At 54.2% G+C, this 19691-nt stretch overlaps 1 protein-coding gene and 1 long non-coding RNA gene across 2 annotated transcripts, besides 3 other annotated features; one reads left to right on the top strand and one right to left on the bottom strand.

Moving 5' to 3' along the window:
• Positions 1–413: 413 nt before the first annotated feature.
• DLX2-DT (DLX2 divergent transcript) lies at positions 414–7390 on the bottom strand. Its single transcript, NR_126376.1, has 5 exons — positions 7128–7390; positions 6364–6458; positions 4196–4513; positions 1414–1494; positions 414–606 (listed from the first exon to the last, which is right to left on the bottom strand). It is a non-coding gene; the product is annotated as a DLX2 divergent transcript (long non-coding RNA).
• Positions 7495–7694: a silencer, noted in NCBI's record as "silent region_12109". NCBI's record gives its function as "represses an Ori minimal core promoter by ATAC-STARR-seq in GM12878 lymphoblastoid cells {active_cell/tissue: GM12878}" and the evidence as "EXISTENCE:reporter gene assay evidence [ECO:0000049][PMID:35858748]".
• On the top strand, positions 7496–10958 carry DLX2 (distal-less homeobox 2). Its single transcript, NM_004405.4, has 3 exons — positions 7496–8257; positions 8750–8934; positions 9452–10958. Exons 1-3 carry the CDS (start codon positions 7858–7860, stop codon positions 9851–9853), a joined length of 987 nt encoding a protein of 328 aa, NP_004396.1. The 5' UTR covers positions 7496–7857; the 3' UTR covers positions 9854–10958.
• Positions 11054–11283: a silencer, noted in NCBI's record as "silent region_12108". NCBI's record gives its function as "represses an Ori minimal core promoter by ATAC-STARR-seq in GM12878 lymphoblastoid cells {active_cell/tissue: GM12878}" and the evidence as "EXISTENCE:reporter gene assay evidence [ECO:0000049][PMID:35858748]".
• Positions 18072–19245: an enhancer, noted in NCBI's record as "VISTA enhancer hs422". NCBI's record gives its function as "enhancer in: midbrain (mesencephalon)[7/7] | forebrain[6/7] | nose[6/7]" and the evidence as "EXISTENCE:transgenic organism evidence [ECO:0001131][PMID:17130149]".

The raw sequence follows: 19691 nt of genomic DNA, 5'->3' as shown, positions 1-19691 counted from the left end.
GGTGTAGCACACAGGGAAACTACAGAGAGGCTTGTCAAGGCGGGACTTTGCCCCGCTTACTGAATGGGGCAGTCCTTGCCGCACGGGTTAGGAGCAGTATTTGGCCTTTCCAAACTTCAGTGCTGCAGGCGGGCCCTGCACTTCCCCATCCACAGTGCCTGACGGCTTCACAATGCCCCTGGACCACCCACTGCCGCCTCGGAGGCCCACGCCCAAATCCCCTGGCCTGGCCTGGTCCACTGGATCCCGGAAACAGCGTCTGCCTTCACCTTGGCTGCCGCCAGGACAAGGCCTGCTTAGACACGAGTGAGAAAAGTGGGCCTACACCCTCTCCGCCTGGGCCTCCCTCCGCGGTTTAAAACCCATTCCGCTGAGGCCCGAGAACGCCGAGTGTCGCGGTAAACCTGGCGGCGATGAACCTATAATGGTGTATTTCCAGGCAATAATCCCACAAGGAAGAGCTCAGTATCACCTGCATTCCACAGATGCAAACGACGAAGCACAGAAATATTCAGTCCTTTCCCCAAGGCCACAAAGTCTGGCTCCCGAGCACACGTGTCAGCACATCCTCTTCACATCCAAAGGAGGTGGCACAACCCTTTTGTTCTAAAATGAGAGAGTGGAAAGAAAGACTCTGTGAAAGAGAAGGGAATTTTGTGTCCAAGGGTAGTTTCTAAGTTCCAGAGTTTTCCTTCCTAGTTCTCCCGTTTGTTGGTTGTGGTGATGGTGGTGGCGGTGGTGTGTGTGTGTGTGTGTCTGTGTGTGTGTGTGTGTGTGTGTGTGTTTTGCTTTAACCGCTGAATAGACACTAAAGTGAAAAGGGTCTAAGGCCTGTGAGGCTCTGAAAGTTCCAGAAGCATGCTGCACTGACAACCCAACGATGAGAACACCTAGGGCCGGCACGTCGTGGGCTCACCTCTGCAGCTCTTAGGGGAGGAGTTGTGGTTTCAACCTGACAACTGGAGCCAATCAACACCGGACACGCGGAAGACCCGAGGTCCAAGACCCCCCGGCGACGTTCCCCTCCCTGCTACACTTACCCCCTCGCTTCCAGTCCCCCGCCCCGCCGCCCCCCAAGCACAGCCCCCTCCCGGTCCCCCCGGAACGCCGGGCACAAATGGTCCTCAGTTCAGGGGCGGGAAACCTCGGAAATTTTTTTTTTTTTACTTTTTTTAAAAATTTTAAGTTCCGGGGTACATGTGCAGGATGCGCAAGTTTGTTACATAGGTAAAGGTGTGCCAAGGTGGTTTGCTGCACCTATCAACCTATCACCTAGGTGTTAAGCCCAGCATACATTAGCTGTTTTTCCCTACCCTGCTCCCCACCCCCGCCCCCTGACAGGCCCCAGTGTGTGCCGTTCCCCTCCTTGTGTCCATGTGTTCTCTGAGATTGTTTTCTTTCGTAAGAACAAACCTTGTTGCAGTCTTCTCATATCTCAATGTGAGTGCTGCTGAAAGTGCAGAGTGAACATCTCAGCGGTCTGAGCTTTTGTTCCTGGAGGGGGCAGGGGCGGTGGGGAAAGGAAGAGGGAGTAATTTACTCCATCAGCATTTGCAGCTCTCAGGACCTGGACACTAAAATGTGGCAGCTTTTCACCATCTAAGGGGAATGGGTTTCTCTCGCCCTTGGAAGCTCACCCACCTGTGGCCTGCCTATGGGGCCTGTGCGCTGGGATCCACAGTTAGGCCACCGGATCAGTGTGCCTCAGAGCCTGGGCGACCCCTCGCCCCATACAGGGCGCCCTCCTGGGTCAAGGGCCCCAGCTCTCACTCTCTTTGCTTTAACCATTGAACAGACAATAAAGTGAAATGGACCTGACTAGAGTCTGTTAGATCTGGAAGGCAAAAGGCGAAATTGGGTCTGATAGCACCAGAAGCCCAGCGCCGCGGAAAGGCCACGGCTGGAAGCGTCGAGTAACCGATGATTTCGGTTCAAGCCCCTGGGGTTTACTTACACCCCAGCAGGGAGCAAAGATAACTTGGGGCGGAATCCCAGCGGGAACAAAACATCAGGTCCTCAAGCTTGGCTTCACGTGCCAAGCCAGGGGGCACCCGCATCCCGCCCTCTCCGCAGAGGCTCGAGTCTGTTCAGGAATCTTCCCGGGGCTACCCTCTGCGCAGCCGGGCGGGCCTCCTCCTCTCCCAGGGGAACCCCCCTTCCAGGACTCTCTTTGGGGAGAGAGGGGCGCGGTCGCCCTCAGGACGGCCAATGCCCCTTCCAATCTGTTCCGCGGAGCTGGCAGCACCAGGCCCGGGAGAAGTAAGTGTGGTGCCGCCTTCTCTCGCGTCCCCTGGCCGGAAACAGCCCAGAGCGACAGCGGCCTTGCCTCCATGGCCCAGATCTGAGTTCGAGGTCGGACTCTGCTGCGCGTCGGTAACCATGTGATTGGCTCTAGGCCTTGGTTTCCTCAATGTGGGTGATATTGTACCCACCCTACAGGGCGATTCCCAGGAGTCAGTGAGATGTCTGAGGTAAAGGGCTTGGCAGAACGCTGGGCGCTCAGTAAATACACGCGGGCAATCGTTCTCTGCACTAGACTGCACGCTGCTGGAGGACAGTGCCTGGAGGCAGGTGGAAGAGGAATGGCTGACTGAGACTCTCAAGCTCGGGAGCCAGGAGGGAGTGTGGAGCCAAAGATGCGGGCCGGGAGCGGTGGCTCACGCCTGTAATCCCAGCCCCAGCACTTTTGGAGGCCGAGGTTGCAGGATCGCTTGAGCCCAGGAGTTTGGGACCAGCTTGAGCAACATAGTGAGACCCCATCTCTACAAAATAAAAAAATTATCTGGGCATGGTGGCATATGCTTGTGGTCCCAGCTACTCCGGAGGCTGAGGAAGGAGGATCCCTTGAGCCCAGGAATTCGAGGCTGCAGTGAGTTGTGATCGAGCCAGTGCACTCCAACCTGAGTGAGAGAGTGAAGCTCTGACTCTTAAAAAAATAATAATAGGCCTGGCGCGGTGGCTCAGGCCTGTAATCTCAGCACTTTGGGAGGCCAAGGCGGGAGGATCATCTGAGGTCAGGAGTTCGAGACCAGCCTGACCAATATGAAGAAACCTCATCTCTACTAAAAATACCAAAAAAAAAAAAAAAAAAAAAAAAAAAAAATAGCAGGGCGTGGTGGCACATGCCCGTAATTCCAGCTACTCGGGAGACTGAGGCAGGAGAATCGCCTCAGTTGCGAGGCTGCGGTGAGCTGAGATCGCGCCATTGCACTCCAGCCTGAGCAACAAGAGCAAAACACCGTCTCAAAATAATAATAATAATAATAATAATTTTTAAAATGGTAGAAACCCGAGACAACCTCTGAGCTGGGAAGCCGTGGCAGCAGAGACCAGAGGACCCACCCATTCCCTGCACAGGCCGAGTTTTAGCTCCCCAAGAGTGATCCCATTGTGTCCTCTCGCCAGGTCCATGCAGGAAAAGAAAAAATGTGAAATCCCAGGACGCAGATCCCGAGTCAGGGGTCGCGTCTGCCTGCCGGCCCAAGGGGCTGCGGAGAGCTGATGGCTCCCGGAGTCCCTCGAGGCTGCCTTAGGGGTCGCAGGGAAAATCAGGTTGAGGAGACCAGCAATGCGAAAGGACCCAGCCAGAGTTGTCCCAAGAAGCTGCAATTAGCCAATGAAGTAAGAACAAAAGCACTGCGGGTTTGGTCGCAAAGGCTGAGCTGGGAGGTTCTCATAACCAAATCCCCGCCCTCTTCCAACGTCTTTGAGTTTTAGGACAAACCCCAAAGGGATTCGAAAGCGCAGGTTCCTAGAGCTACTACTTCGGGGACGAAAACACAAAGGTACCGAAACTGGCATTGCCTCTTGGACCAGCGGCCCGGAAACTCCCGTCTCCGGGACCCTCGACGAGACTGTGAGGAGTAGGAGCAGCAGCGCATGCAGCCCTCCCATCCCCCGAGTGAGGAAGGAGAGTGAAAATGGGCCTGGCCCCGCCACGCACTGAGGGCACCCGGGCGCCCACCCTAGCTCCCTGCCGACAGGAGGCATCCTCTCCCCAGTAATACCCAACTGGGCTGGCTTTCTGTGCAGCGGAGGACGCCCAATAGCCCGGCAGAGCAAAGCGCCCGGCTAGGCGAAGGCTGGAATCCTGCCCCAGGCTAGCGGTGGGGCAAGGGTCTGAGAGCAAAGCGCAGACTTGTCCTCTCCAGCTCGCCGTCTTCTGGAGACCTGGAGCTGTTCAACTAAGGCTTACCATAAATACCCTTGTGATTTGTGCTATGGCAACAGAGAAAGGCGGCTGCCTGGCAAGGGGGGAGAGGCACCCAACTCAAAAGAAGTCGTTTCCGTTCTCGAGCCTCAGTGTCCATCTATACAATGAGAATGATGATTCCATCCCTGCCTGGCGCAGGGGTTGGCGTTAGGCTCCTACGAGGGGAGAGGTCGCAGCGCGGCGTCAGCCTGGGACAAGCGATCCAAAGCAGAAGAAAGTCTCAGCGATGGGATTCGAACACGCAAGCACAGAGCAGAAACTTCAGGCTCCCCTTATTTACCCCCACCGTTCTCTATGTTCCTGCGGAGCAAAAGAATGCCGAAGTCAGAGAAATCCGAAAACAGAGAAGGGGAAAGAAAGTGCCCTGGGGCAGAAGAGGTAGCTGGCCGCCCTCAAGCACCAGTGTTCTCCCAAACTCGTTTTAAGCCTCCCCTTCACTCCTCTCAGATCACTAAGGAGACGGGCGTCACTCTGACTGTAGACAAAACTGTCAATTCCCTATGCCACTGCTTCCCTGACTTCAGACCAAAGTAAGCAAATCGTTTGGACATTGTGGTGCAGTAATCAGATAATTTGGCTAAACCCAGACTTGTGTTCAAATTATCAGAACTGATACCTCAAGTCTCTACTTGATTCTCCAAATGCAGTTGTGCGTTCTGTCTCCCTTTCCCCCTCCCTCACACTCTCCCCGCTTGCTCATTGCCTCTGGTCTCTTCTTTGCCCCCTCTTTCCCCCATGTACACAATCCTTTGTTTTACAGATAAAGTGGGGCTCCAGTCATTTCCTTCCAGAAAGAAACCATTTTCCAGATCCCAGCTGATCTAGACTTTGGGCTGCTAATTAATGGAAGTTACTGAATAAATAAAATACAACAAATTTGCCATCATGAAAAAGCCTGGAGAACATATTTAGGGTGGGAACAAAGAACAGAGAGAAGAAGACATGGTGGTTGGATTTTTTTTTTTTTTTTTTTTTTTTGAGTCAGAGTCTCGCTCTGTCACCCAGGCTGCAGTGCAATGGCATGATCTTGTCATGATCTTGGCTCACTGCAACCTCTGCCTCGCCAGCTCAAGTGAATCTCCTGCCTCGGCCTCCCAAGTAGCTTGGATTACGGGCTCCCACCAGCAAACCTGGCTAATTTTTGTATTTTTAATAGAGATGGGGTTTCATTATGTTGGCCAGGCTGGTCTCGAACTCCTGACCTCAGGTGATTTGCCCGCCTTGGCCTCCCAAAGTGCTGGGATTACAGGTGTGAGCCACCGTGCCCAGCAGGCGGTTGGATTTTTAAAATTGTCTTTTTCAGGGAATTTTTTTTCTACATTAGATCAAAGCAGCTACCACTGTGGTGACAGAAAGAGTTGGAATTTGAAGTCAAAACACCAAAAGGCGGGCAGATCACGAGGTCAGGAATTCGAGACCAGCCTGACCAACATGGTGAAACCCCATCTCTACTAAAAATACGAAAATTAGCCGGGAGTGGTGGCGCGCGCCTGTAATCCCAGCTACTTACGAGGCTGAGGCAGGAGAATCGCTTGAACCCAGGAGGTGGAGGTTGCAGTGAGCCAAGATGGCGCCACTGCACTCCAGCCTGGGTGACAGAGTGAGACTCCGTCTCAAAAAAACAAAAACAAACAAAAAAACACCAAAAGGCAATCATGTTTCAATATCAAGAGGTTGGTTTTGCAGCTGAGGCCCACAAAGTAGGCAGAGAACCGCATAAAGCAATGCAGGTGGGTGGAGGTGAGCTCCACCTCCAACGTTTCTCATAAGCTGGCGCTTTCCATCTAGGGGCCTTCCTTAACCAAAAAAAAGCTGGGAACTAAATCCAGGTAGACTTAAAGGCGCATTACCTATCTCATTATTTCTCTGTGTGAATGCTGGAGTTTTAATTACACACTTGCTTTTTATGGGGAAGAAGACCAAAGATCATATTTTTGAAGGTATCAACTTGTTTTCTATCAGACAGTTGTTTTAACAAGTTCTTTCAGCGACATGTTATGTCTTTAGGAAAGGGTGCTTCAGATGGTGCGCACTAGCACAATTTTGTGGCTTTTAATTACTATTTTGTTCTTTTGGGGGGTTTCAGAGGCTGGCGCCTGGGCGTGATTAGACCGTCTACCCCGCCCCCCGCAACCTCGCACACTGCCCACCAGGTGGCGCCACAAAGCAAGCGCTGCCGCAGGAACTTCGGACTTGGGAGTCCAGCAAGTCGTGCAGTCCATCACCGTCGGGCCAAGGTTTCCAACTACAAGGTTATAGAGACAGAGGAAGTCACCATTTCCGATTTTTTAAAAAACAGAGGGAAAAGAAAAAAATTGCAATGATAGGGTAGAACAGGGTCCTAAAATGCAAAACTGTAAAACAGGATTAAATTCAACAAACCAGATAAAACTTTTTATATTTGTTGTAAATTTACAGAGAAGTGATAAATCTAGTATCTACTTGATAAATCTATAATCTCACCTATTATCCTATTTCCTTTTTCGCAAGAGCATCGAATTTTCAAGGACAACTGGTGAACCTTTCCACCCGAAGGAGGAAGTCCTCGGGATGGCTTTCAGGGTGTCATTTACTTATCAAACGTATATAATTACTCAGAGTCTCGCGTGTCGGGAAAGTACCAGGGAAAGTGGTTTCAAATATACTATTAGCAATAATACCTTTAAGTTTATGTAGCTTCTCTTTGAAGCAACAAGGAAAACCCGTTTCAATATTATATGATTAATTGTCCTAATATCCCTGCGGATTGGTTAAGAAGCGAGCATTACACGTGGTTTGTGGATAATTAAATCAATTGATTATGTCAAGTGCCGAGTGGCTAACAAGAATAAATGCCAGACACTTCGAGGAAAAGTGAAGATAGAGCTGGCTGGACTCTGGGCACCGATGTACTTTAATGTGTTTGAAAACTGACCTCGGACATGAAAGTACGAATCACTGGAACTGGCACTTGCTCACAGAATGGGAGAGGGGACCCCACTTCTTCCTCTGAGGCAAAACGCCAGTCTGTCTCCACGCCTTCTGTCTTCCTGCTGCGGGCCACCCTGACTCCTCGCTACCTCGACCCCTCGCCTCGCTGCTCACATTCGGCGGCAGTCTGTTTGCACCTGGGGCCGCTGCAGCCGCAGCCGCAGCCACAGCGCCCACCATGTGACGCCCGCCCCTTGGCCGGGCGTTCCCGGAGCTCCGCGGCCGTTTGCTTCTGATTGGCTGTTGCTAGGTGACGTCGCCAGCGCTCACGTGACGAGTGTTAAATGCCCACACTTCAGGAGCCCGCCTGGCAGACAATCGTAAAGCCGCTCGGGGCCGCTCACCTGCTCCCGCCTCCCAGAGCCCCGACCCGGCCCAGCCACCCCTGCCCCCTCCACTGCCCGCCCCCCGCCAGAGCCCGCGCTCGCGCTGGGCAAGGAGCCGAGCGGGCCCAGAGGCCGAAAGAGGATGCGACCAGAGGCAGCTGTCCCGAGCAGCGCACGGTGATCGCCTCCCCCGGAGGAGGAGGCGCCTAGACGGTTGCCTCCTTTCTTGTTTCCCCACCACCACCCCCGTAATTACATTGGCTGCTGGAGGGGACCGGGAGAGACAGAGGAGGCGCCTGGCTTCCCCCGCACGCCCGCCACCTCTGCTCTTTCCCGTCTCGGGCCAGGATGACTGGAGTCTTTGACAGTCTAGTGGCTGATATGCACTCGACCCAGATCGCCGCCTCCAGCACGTACCACCAGCACCAGCAGCCCCCGAGCGGCGGCGGCGCCGGCCCGGGTGGCAACAGCAGCAGCAGCAGCAGCCTCCACAAGCCCCAGGAGTCGCCCACCCTTCCGGTGTCCACCGCCACCGACAGCAGCTACTACACCAACCAGCAGCACCCGGCGGGCGGCGGCGGCGGCGGGGGCTCGCCCTACGCGCACATGGGTTCCTACCAGTACCAAGCCAGCGGCCTCAACAACGTCCCTTACTCCGCCAAGAGCAGCTATGACCTGGGCTACACCGCCGCCTACACCTCCTACGCTCCCTATGGAACCAGTTCGTCCCCAGCCAACAACGAGCCTGGTATGCATAACGCTGAAGTCAAGAGTGCCGAGTCGGTCTAGTTAATGGGATGGATGGGTAAACGTGTTTGGGGCGGGGGGCCTTCGAAAGCTCTGGATTTTCACGCTGCCTGCTCACCGCCCGCTTGTGCCCTTTACCCTCCCCAGCCTCCAATCTGCCGCAGGTCGCCGGTTACGTCCCTCTCTCCTTTGGTAGGACCTGGTGGCCTCAAGAGCCAAGTGGGCGTGCTCTGCCTGCCTCATAAGGGCATCTCCTTGCCACCAGCTTCTTTCTCTTGGGTGTGCACTTGTCTCCCCCTTCCCTGGAGGGTACAGCTCCCGGGGTCGGTGGCGGCTCCGATCGCACGCTGCGAAGTTGCGCCTGCCCGTGGCGCCACAGTTCAGTGCACCCACCTCTTTGCTCAAGCCAAGTCCCCCCCGCCGGGCCCTCTAGGAGGGCGGGAACTCCAGGACCCCTGGGTTGCGCTGTTCTTACGATTCTTTATCGTTGCAGAGAAGGAGGACCTTGAGCCTGAAATTCGGATAGTGAACGGGAAGCCAAAGAAAGTCCGGAAACCCCGCACCATCTACTCCAGTTTCCAGCTGGCGGCTCTTCAGCGGCGTTTCCAAAAGACTCAATACTTGGCCTTGCCGGAGCGAGCCGAGCTGGCGGCCTCTCTGGGCCTCACCCAGACTCAGGTGGGGCTCGCGCCCTGCAGGGGCGAGGAGAGCGCGGGCCTGAGATGGCTGGGAAGCAGGCGGGTTTAGGACAATGCTTTTTAAAGTTCATTTTAAGTACTTTTAAGGATTTCCAGGCCTGCGCCTCGAGCGGCCCTAAGTAAGCTTCTAGGCCCAAAGCTGGAAACCCCCAAGGGGCCGCCGTGGGAGGGAAGGAAAGGGACCGGGTGGACAGAAATCCCGTACCTCTCGCTACTGATTAAGCGGGTGAAATAACTGGCCCTCCTCACCCTCCCGCTGTCACCATCATCACAGTGCACGTACACCAGCAGTCCTGGCCTTTTGGCAATTACCTCCCCAGGGAGCAGGAACCGGCAGAGCCTCGAAGGCCGCCGCCCGTGATCCTCTTATCTCCCCAGGGCGCTCGCTGCCCACCGCTAGCCAGCGGTTTTTCTCTGCCTTCTTTTTTCTCCTCTTCGAACCCCTACTGCCCCAAGACTAGGTTCCTCCACTAATGCTCAGGTCTTTTTCCTCAAAGGTCAAAATCTGGTTCCAGAACCGCCGGTCCAAGTTCAAGAAGATGTGGAAAAGTGGTGAGATCCCCTCGGAGCAGCACCCTGGGGCCAGCGCTTCTCCACCTTGTGCTTCGCCGCCAGTCTCAGCGCCGGCCTCCTGGGACTTTGGTGTGCCGCAGCGGATGGCGGGCGGCGGTGGTCCGGGCAGTGGCGGCAGCGGCGCCGGCAGCTCGGGCTCCAGCCCGAGCAGCGCGGCCTCGGCTTTTCTGGGCAACTACCCCTGGTACCACCAGACCTCGGGATCCGCCTCACACCTGCAGGCCACGGCGCCGCTGCTGCACCCCACTCAGACCCCGCAGCCGCATCACCACCACCACCATCACGGCGGCGGGGGCGCCCCGGTGAGCGCGGGGACGATTTTCTAACCCCAGGGAGAACTCGCCAGAGACTGAGAGCAGAGACCACTTATCCTCATTGCTTACCCCGAGCCGGGGTTCCCTCCTCCCGGCCCGCTGCCGCCACCCACCTCTCCTGCAGGCTGCGACCTGCAGTGGCCCGTCTCAGGCCCTGCTCACTCCCGGGGCCACCAAACGGGCCCCTCTCTCGGGGGAACCGGACAGCAGCTTGGCAAAGGCCTCCCTAAAAGGCCGCATTTCTGACCTGAGCCCCGGGTCTCGGCTGTTTCGAGCCCCGCCTCGGACTTGCCTTCCCTCCCCTCCGGGTGAGCCTGTCTGGCGCCTTCCTCGCCCCGGGCTGAGAGCTGGGTCCCGGGAGATGGAAGCCTCCCAGGCGCGCGAGGCTTCCCGGGCGCTCTGAGGCTTCTTTCTCCTCGCCCGCTCCCCTGGGCTCAGCTCGGACGCTGCAGTTATTGACCTCCCGGTCCCGCCTGCCCGCCCTCCCCCACGTGGCCCCTTGACCCGGGCGGCCCCGCCGCTTCTTTCCTTCCTGCAGTTCCCAGCCCTCGGAGCCCCCATCCCTTATCTTACCCCCACCGCGCTCCCCCAGGAGCGCTCCCTCAGCTCTCTCCTCATCCATCACCAGTGGAGTTTTTTTATTTGTTATTTTTTTAAAAGTTTAGGTGCCTTTGCGGATGACCTCATTTTGACGTTGAAAAAATGATTTTTTAATATGTGAACACTGCAAAAATGTGTTTAAATTATCTTTTTTAAAACCTATTCAGGATTATTAGCCTGGACTTGGACACAGAGTTTGTAAATAAAGGTGTCTGTGCAGATTTTCCCACTGATTTATTTGTATAAAAATACTCATCTTTTCAGACTTTTTTGTAAACCCCCAGTTGTGAAAACTGCAGTTTAGCAGTGACCTCAGCAACCCCTCCTTTTTATTTTTTCCTTTAAAAACATTTCAGTTAAATTAAGCTACTGATTTGGATTTGTTTTATCGTATCCTAAAGTCTTTGTTGTTGAAATGAAAGGTATTTTGGGGTTATTTATTATGAAAACAACATGCTCTTAATGTTGATTTTACAATATGAAGAGATTATTTAAATAAATTATTGTTTTCATTGGATGTGTGCGCTTTTTTCTTGGTGCCAGGGTCCGGTCAGTCACGTGCTCAGAGCTCAAGCCGCTGCCCAGGCCGGGAAGCCAGCCGGCCGAGAGCTACGTTTACATCTTTCCGAGGCTGCGACACCGCGAGGTGCGGCAAGGAGAGGACAGGCGCGCTGGGCGTGGGGCCGCACCGGGGGTTTCACGCCCCGCCCCCTCCCGAGTCCCCGCGAGGGATTCTCCGGCCGGCGGCGGGGTGACTCACTCAGCGCGGAGCGGCTCCAGCCTCCGCCTGCCCTGCCCCTCCGGCGCCGGCGCCACCGCCCCCGCGCCCGCCTAGATGGCCAGGCTCGGCACCCCAGCCGCCGCGGGGGACCTCCTGTCAGGGACCTGAGCTCTGCAGCAGCCTGAGGGTCGGAACCCTACTTTGAACCTTCCCCTCCGTTTGTCCCACCGCCCTTCGGGACTGAACTGAGAGCTCTGTGAGTCACCCTCGGGAGGCATGGCTGGCTGCTCTGGAATGCAAGCCGACCCCAACGACACGGGGCCGTGCTCGAGCGCGCGCAAACACACAATCACACACTGAGCACACTGTCACAGGCCCATCTATACTAGCACACACTCACCCATACTGATACACACTCTCACAGTCACACTCATGCTCAAATATTCTCAGGCGCACACACAATGACACACACTCGAACACCGTCACATCACACACTCATACTCCATCACACTCTTACAACACTGACACACGAAGTCATGCACACTCGCATTCATACCCTTACACACTGATAGACAAACTCACATATGCACACTCATGTATACTTACTCACAGACTTATATACACTGGTATGAGAGTGGCATCTTTCCACTTCATACTCTTGGTGGGGGGGATGTCCACACACCACTGGGCTCTGCTTTCTACCTTGGGCCCCACACAACCAGCTTACAACTTTGGAGGTGACCCTGCTTTCTGGCATTCCCTACAAAGGCCAGGGGTTGGTGGTTAATGAAGGTCCCTGAAAGTGCTAGGGCCTTTCCCTGAAAGTGCTAGGGCCCGCAGTTGGAAGCTTCCTGGCTTCAATCACTGACTGTGTGACCTTGGGGAACCCATTTAACCACCCTGTGTTACAGTTTGCAGATCTGTAAGATAGGAGAAATATTAACAGCTATAGCTTGCAGTTGTGAGCATTTAATGAGGCAACAGTGTAACAGTGCCTGGCACATGGTAACAACTCACTAAATTATATCTATTTAATATTTAGTATTACTGTTTTTTCACTACCCCCAGAGAGGGGTATGAAACCCACAGTTACCCAGAGGCTTTCCAACTTCACTTTGTGTGGAAGAGCAACATCCTGGGGCTGGGAAAGCCCCTTCCTACCTGGGGTTTGAACCTCAGCCATGCCCTCTGAAGGGATTCTCCCCTACTGCAGAGGGGCTGGGTGCCAGCCACAGAGCCCCGCCTGCCAGGTCCAGGCTTCGTCTCCTCTAGGATGAGGCCATCTGTGCTGTGTGTCTTCAACTTATCTGCCAAAACCAGACACGGGGCGGAGGTGACTTTCTGGGCTCAGTGGCATCATCCTGAGGAGAATCATGACTTTTCTGAGCAGATTGCTTTGGGGCCTTCTCTGAGTCTGGTTTACAACCATGCGGTCCAGAGAGTTGCGGCTTTGGAAAAAGCAGGGGGGCTACACGATCCAGTGTCCCATTGCATTTTTGCATTGTTTTCCCAGGCTAGGGAGGCCTGGGTTGAAGCCCATTGACCTATGATCCTGGGTTTCCCTAAGCAACCGCTGCCTGGCAGACCCCCATCCCTGTCCACCACCCGCACCCCAGCTCCAAATTCTGTGGGTTTTGTTTCTTTTTTTTTTGTTTTTTTTTTCTTTTTAGTGCCACTAACTGGTGCCAGCCTTCCTCCTGAGGGTGACTGTGCCCTCCCCTCCTTTGCACGCACTCCCCTCCCTCCTCCCGAAACCAGCGGGGAGAGACGGGCAGTAAATTGGCTGGTGTCGAGGATCTGCAGCAGACAAGATGATTAAGAGGCCTACGCTGGAGAGCCCGGGGCAGGGAATGTCAGCCCAAGTTGGAATCACGCAACAGGCCTTGGCATGAGCCAAGCCTGGGAGTCGGGAGGGCGGGAGCTCCCAGCTCCGGGGTGGGCTGAGGCCCCACAGACTCGCCGGAGTCACCTTACCCGGCACCCAGTGACGACAGGGTCGGGCCGGGCCACGGTGTGCCTTTCCCCAGGGAGCCTGCGAAGCCGAGAGCAGGAGGGTGAAGGGGCCAGAGGAAGGGGGTGTTTCCGCAGACCACGAGAAGGGCAAAGAGAAGGGGTTGCAAGGACGCGCCCAGGTCCCAGAAATGAGGGGGCGGAAAGGGGGAGGGGTAGGCAAGGGAGGAAACAAAGCCTGGCTCCTGGAGGCGGGGGCCGGCTCCAGCCCCGCCGGGGGCGACGCGCTGGCAAGCCTTTCTCACAGTCTCCCGGCCCGCCCGGAGACGCGGAGTCCTGTGATCAGCCCGCCGCCGCGCAGACACGCTCCCCCCGTGCTCTACTGAGCTCCCCAAAGCGCGAATGAAAAATGGAAATGGGAAGCAGCGATCTCGGCTCTCTACGCTGGGAAACTAGCAGTGCTCAGAACACACATAAATCTCCATTGTAATCTCCTTCCAATTGCTCGCGTGAAATATCAGGCCAGAGACAGGATATGACAAGCGCTGGGAAGCAGGGGGAGGGAAGCTGAAGAGTGAGGGGTGCACGGCCCTCTCCGCTCCACCCTCTGGCAGGGCTCTCCCAACTCAGGCAGAACGCGGGCACTGAGCTCCAGGGCCAACTGCCTGCCGCCCAGGTACTCCCGCGCCCCCCGCCCCTTCAATCCCCTTCTCCCCCCAACCCCGGTGCACGCTCTGCCCACAGCCACCTCGCCCCAGCACGGCGCTCCGCTGGGCGCAGACCCCCCTCCGGCTGCGCGGAATTCCCGCCGCCGGCCCCGAGACTCCGGGATGGGAAGGGCAGAAAAGAGAGAGAATGGATCCCAGGCCTCACCAGCCCTGCTGCAATGTGGGACCGTTTAGGAGGCTTCCCCTAGGCCTTCTTTCAGGATCACTTGTGAAAATTGTGAATATCCGCCCTGTGTAACGATCCCAGACTGATGGAGCGAATTTGGGAGAAATACCGGTTTGGTGGAGGCGGAGAGAGCGGGGGAAGACTGGAACTTTGTTTACAAACAGTTCAGTGGTAGAAGACGAGGGGCAGAAGAGGCGGGTGCAAAGAGAAGCTCTGAAGTGGTCCCCTCCGCCCAAGAGAACAATGTCCGGGAGCAAGAAGCCCCGTCCCCTCTCAAAAAGTCGTTCTTACGGGCAGTAAAACTCGAGTGCAACTCCCCCACTCCTGGCGTCCCCCGAACTCGCTCAAAAGTCAAAAGCCCGCTCCTTTCCCTCCATGGAACAGCGACCACCAGTGGCTTTAACCTGTTTAGGGTCGGAGACTCCTTTGAGAATTAAGCTACAGATCCTCTCCTCCTCCAAAAATACAGATAGGTCCTTTCCCTTCGAATTCAACTTTGGGGTCCAGGAATCCTAGAAGCTGTAGGATGGGGCGCTATCCTGGGGGCCGCGTTACTTCCAGCCTTGGCGCTAGGGCACTAGGTCCTGCGGGGACTGGCGGCCTCTAGCAGGATCCTAACACCCAAAGCAGCCCCAGGGAAGCCTCCCCCGGCCGACCTTTCCCTTCCCTCCCCACCCAGGATCTGCCAGGCACGCCGCCGCCAGCCCACACCACCCCCGCCCCCACACACACCAGTGAAGGCGGATGCTGAGGCCCCACATCCCTTCGATCTCCCTTCCCCCCCCGCGGGAGTTCCCCTCGCGGGGACGGGTTTGGCAGTGATTGCCGCATTACAAGATGTTACATTCCGCCCTGCGGCCTGATGCTGGGCGGGGCGGGGAGACTGTGTTTCAGGAAAAGAAAGTGCAGGCAGGTCTTGGAGGAGCAGCTCGGCGCCTCCACGCCAAGAACGCAGACAGCCTCCAGACAGACCTTTCTTCCCTCGGCCTCTCCGGCTCCCCCACTAGTCCTCCCGGGCCAGAGCGCACAAGCTGCAGTGTCCCGGCAGTTTGCGGGCTGCGTGGCAGCGCTCCGAAAGAGGCCCTTTTGGGGAGGGTCCCCAGTCGAGTCGGGTCCCGGGCTAGGAGATGGGGGCCGAGGGTCGGGTGCCGAGTGGGAGAAGGTGCAGAACCGGCCCACGAGGCGGGTCGGGGGTGCTGGGCAGAGGATTACAACTTCGGGGCAGGAGAAGCGAGGGCGAAAGGACTGGACTTGGAGCACGCTCGGGTGACCCCGGGGGACAGACTGGGGCCCGCACGGAGCAAACGTGGCAGGCTGCCCACGCTGCCGCTTCTCCGTCCCGATTGTGGTCCAGGAGTCTCGGACACCCGGGAGGTGAAATCATCGCACCCGGAACAATGGGGACTTCTGGCCGGAGAACCGGACTGAGGCACTGCAGCTCCGAGCGGTGGCCGCGCTCCAGTCGGCTTCTCCCGCCGGGCGCCACCGCGCTCCCCGCTCGGGGGGCAGCCCCCGCCCCGCCCCCTCCCTCCGCGGGTCTGGCCTCGGCTTCTTAAAGTCGCAGGGTGTCTCGGTTCCCGAGAGAAGCGCCGCCCAAGTGGGAAGTGAATGTTTGGGAGGTGGGGGGACGCTATCTCCAGGCGGTAGAGACAAAAGAAGAGCCTAGGCGGTCGCGGGGCGGGACAGTCCGACCCTCCGCTCCTACCTTCCACGTCCCACCTTCCCAAAACTGCCCTGGGCATCTCCCGAGATGCTCCCCGCCTGGCACCGACAGCACAGTCAGCCAGCTCCCCCATCATCCCGCCCCCCCGCCCCCTGGGCCCGGTCTGCCCATCCCGGGGCCCGGCCCGGCTGCACTGTGGAGGGGTTTGCCAGAATCCGGGAATGGGGCCGAAGGAAGGAGGAGGGGGGAACAGGAAAGAAAAAGAAAGGAGGAGGTGGCAGGAGGGGGTATCCGGTTCAGTCACTTTCTCAGTTGCTGCTTTTAGGGTGGGGAGCCCCTCGGGGCCTCCCGGGCATTCAACTGGGGAGAGCAGGTACGCGGGGAAAAGGATTCTCTCCTCGGCACGTTCACGGGAGGACAGTGAAAATTTGCCTTGGGTGGCCAATTTCCTCATTCGCCCCTATTAAAAGAAAAAGCCCAAGAAATTCAATTAAAGCCACCCTGGCCAATGCTCTATTTGAGGCATGAATGTCTCCCCTAAAGCTGCAGCAATCATGTGGCATTAGACACTTCCGGAATCCTATAGCCAACCTGAAAAATCCCAGACCCCCTTTTTCCCTAATTTTTGCTCTGATCTGTAATTTTATCCACATTTGCACTAGTTTGAGCATTCTGGCTCTCCCATCTGAAAGCCTGCAATTACTATATAATTCTTCGCAATTTCAGATGTCCTAATATGGACTGTAATTTTTGCGCAAGACAATTTCCTGCTATTTCAAGCATCAACATTGTCAAAGTTGTATGTACATAATAAATGGGAATATCAATGCATAGTTTTTAGCATAACATCTTGACTCCTCGATAATTATATCCGTTCGGAGCCTACGCAGAATTAGCCTGAATTGCATGGTAACTGCTGCTGCTTTAAAATTTTTAAAAATTACTCATAATTTTCCCAAAGATTACCAAGATCTCGAGTGCACAATGTCATCAGCGTAATGAAGAGTAAACATTTATGCTAATAATCTGCAATTTTTTTCATCAGCTATAAAGACAGAGGCTATATAGCCGAAAATTTCAGTCCTATTCTGCAAGCGCAGCGCTGCAAAAAGCCTGCGGCGCTCTGAGGCGCCTGGTCCTGGGGACCTCTTTCCACTCTTTACTCTCAAGATAGGAGGATGGGTCTGGGGGATTGTTTTTGGTTTTCTGGTTTTGTTTTACTCTGGTTTGGTCGGTTTTGTATTTTTCTATTTTTCCTTTTTTTCCCTTTTTTCTTTTTTGATTTTTCTTTCCCGTTATTCTCCCAGCCAAAAGCTACCTTCGACCCTTTTGATTTGATGTAGCAAAGAGTGTGTGTCCAGATTATCTGAAATTGACACTGAAGAAGGTAAGGGTGGAAACCGGTTTCATTTTTCAGAGGGTTGGAAGGCTGCGCTGCGCCCGCCGCCGTGGCTCCCGCTCCGGGAGTAGGAGGGTGGGGGAGTGATTATGTATGCACCAGCTAATTCTTCCATCAAAACTTCTTGTCAGCGATGTCAGGATTATTTTTTTCCTTTTTATAAAAACACTTGATGTTTCAGGAAGTGTTAATCCTCGAAGATTGGGGGATGAGGGAGGGGGTAGGAAAGCGGTGGGTGGGGGTGACATGTTTCTTGAGCCTGGGGAAGGCACTTTTTACAGCCGTTTGTCTGTCTACGCTGGAGCTAGGGGTTTGTTGTGGAGCTGGGGACCGGAGGAGGATTTCTTTGAGGCATGGGAGGGAAGGACCCTCGCCTTCTGTACTGCATTTGATGGAGGTTCCTATGGCCATGCGGGATGAAGAGCAGAAAAGTTTGCGTTAGCCTATAATTTCAAGGGTGTTTAATCCAGGCGGTGGGATGACAAAAACCAGGTAATTCTGAAATCAGTTTATAAAAGATACAGAAAGGAAGAGATGGATACCAGGATAAAGATTTAAAGCCAGGAAGCCTGGGTTGCTTCTTTGCTCCCAATTTTTCTTGATCTAGTATCTCGGGTTCCACATCCAGCGCACAGACCTACCTTTCCTGGGGTGACAGAAATTGACAATTTCTTCAAGGTGAAAGATTCAGTTAGTTTCTACATCAGATGACTCTCTATGAATAAATTCACACTTCTGTGCATATAGGTGGGGGGAATCTTAAAACTTCTTGTGGCTCTAAAAACTCGTACAGAATCAAGAAGGCTGAAGAGCTATTATATCTAACCCAGCCCAGGTGCAGATTTCCAGAAGAAAGAAATAAAAATAAAACATAATGATCAGAGAGGAAAAGCTGTGAACTATAAACGTTTCCAGTTTTATATTTTTAAATAGTGCCTCGATTTAAGATATGAGTTCTCCCACAATTAGATTACCACTCACAAGGCTACCCAGCCCCTCCAGGCTCCTGAAAGCCAAGACCAGTGAGGAGGGGGCTGGGGACTGTTGCTTCTCTCCCTACCCCTACCCCTTTTTAGAGCTAGTGTGGGTGAGAGAAGATATTAAAGGGATATCTGTTGTTTGGCAATTTTGCTAAGTCTGTCTTCATTACTTTGCTGCTGTGCATTTGCTAATTTGGAGGCCTGGCCATTGACAAGCTTGCTCCATACACCTGCAAGCAATTTGCCGGCTCCGGTACCAGAGAATTGCAGAGATGGCAGCTCGCACCTATTTGATTTTTTTTTTTCCTTTTCTCAATGCACAGCAAATTTGGCTTTCAGTGCGTTATCTCTTTTGTTAATGCAAAAAGATTCCCTGGGCGAAAAAATTGCTCATAATTACCAGAGAGATGGGGAAACTGCATTAGAATAAATAAACCTGAAATTACTGTAATTATGTTGTGTTTGATGGGCCCGGCTTGTAATCAAGAAGAGAATACAGTGAAATGATGCTGACCCTCTTGGGTTTGCAGCTGTACGCGCACTTTGGGGTCTTTTTTTGCAGAAAAGAGTCATTTTGATAATCATTAAGCTGTGTGTAACCTATTTCAGAAGTGTTTTAAAATGAGTTTCACATTTTTTGAACAAGGGAAAAAAATCCCAAAATTGCATTTTGCCATTACAGACTCATACATAAGGAAAGGTTGTGTTTTCTAAGTGACAATTGTTAAGACATAATATTCGAAATCAGTATTTAATCATTATAATGAGGTATTGTTTAAATATAACCACCTTTAGATTATTCATAGTTTAATTAATATACTCATTATGAAAATCTTTGAATCAGATATTTGATGAACTACTTGTCAGTAACAAGGCAGCATTAATTAGGCCTATATTGAGATTAACATTTTTAAAAAGTACAACCGCTTATAATTATAATAAAGCCTAACTAAAGACCGTTTTCGTTGAGCTAAAACTAATAATTTCTCTATTTGAACTGTTAGCAAGAGATTATTAAATTAGTATAAGCTAATATCTCAAAGTATTACAATCCGCTTGACCAAACAGATTTTGCCTGTAGCTTGAGGCATTGGGCCCTAGCTGCCGTCTGGGGGACCTGAGTCAGATGCCGGACAGAAATCTTCGCACTAGCAAAGTCACATCTCCTAGGGGAAATTGAACCTAGGAAGACCCCCTACCCCGCGCGGGAGCTGGGAAATTCATTCTTTCCTCAGCTTTGAGGCCCATCTGACTGCCCACATCCTGGTTTCTGAGGTCTGATCTCTCCCATCAGCGCTGGTTCTTCTAGGTGCTGCGGAGAAGTCCCAATCTCAGGCCTGGAAGGGGCTTGGAGGTCCCCGGCATCATTCCCCCACCCCCGACTACTTTCCCTGCTTCCATCACACCGCCTCCCCCCACCCCCAGCAGCCCCACCACTTCCTCCTCCCCTTCCCAAAGGGCGTCGGAAGAGCCTGGCGCATCTGATCTTTCACCAGCACCAATTGAAAAATGGGTGCTTGTCACAACACAGATCACTGCCTTCCGGGCTCTGCTCCCCACCGCGCGCCTGAAAAGACCCCCCAAAGGTGGAGGGCCAGCTCCCGCGGGCAGCAGCGCTGGAAGGCGAGTGCGGGAGAAGTAGG

Source organism: Homo sapiens, chromosome 2, assembly GCF_000001405.40.
Source record: "Homo sapiens chromosome 2, GRCh38.p14 Primary Assembly".
Taxonomy (NCBI): domain Eukaryota; kingdom Metazoa; phylum Chordata; class Mammalia; order Primates; family Hominidae; genus Homo; species Homo sapiens.
Note: the sequence above shows the minus strand (reverse complement) of the source record. Positions and strands in the feature narration are given on the sequence as shown.

Excerpts from the sequence above, each read along its gene's own strand:
- DLX2 (NM_004405.4), top strand. The coding sequence starts at position 7,858 with ATGACTGGAGTCTTTGACAGTCTAGTGGCTGATATGCACTCGACCCAG. Across the intron at positions 8,258-8,749 it reads CCCAGCCAACAACGAGCCTG|AGAAGGAGGACCTTGAGCCT; the intron begins GTATGCATAACG and ends TTATCGTTGCAG. Across the intron at positions 8,935-9,451 it reads TGGGCCTCACCCAGACTCAG|GTCAAAATCTGGTTCCAGAA; the intron begins GTGGGGCTCGCG and ends TTTTCCTCAAAG.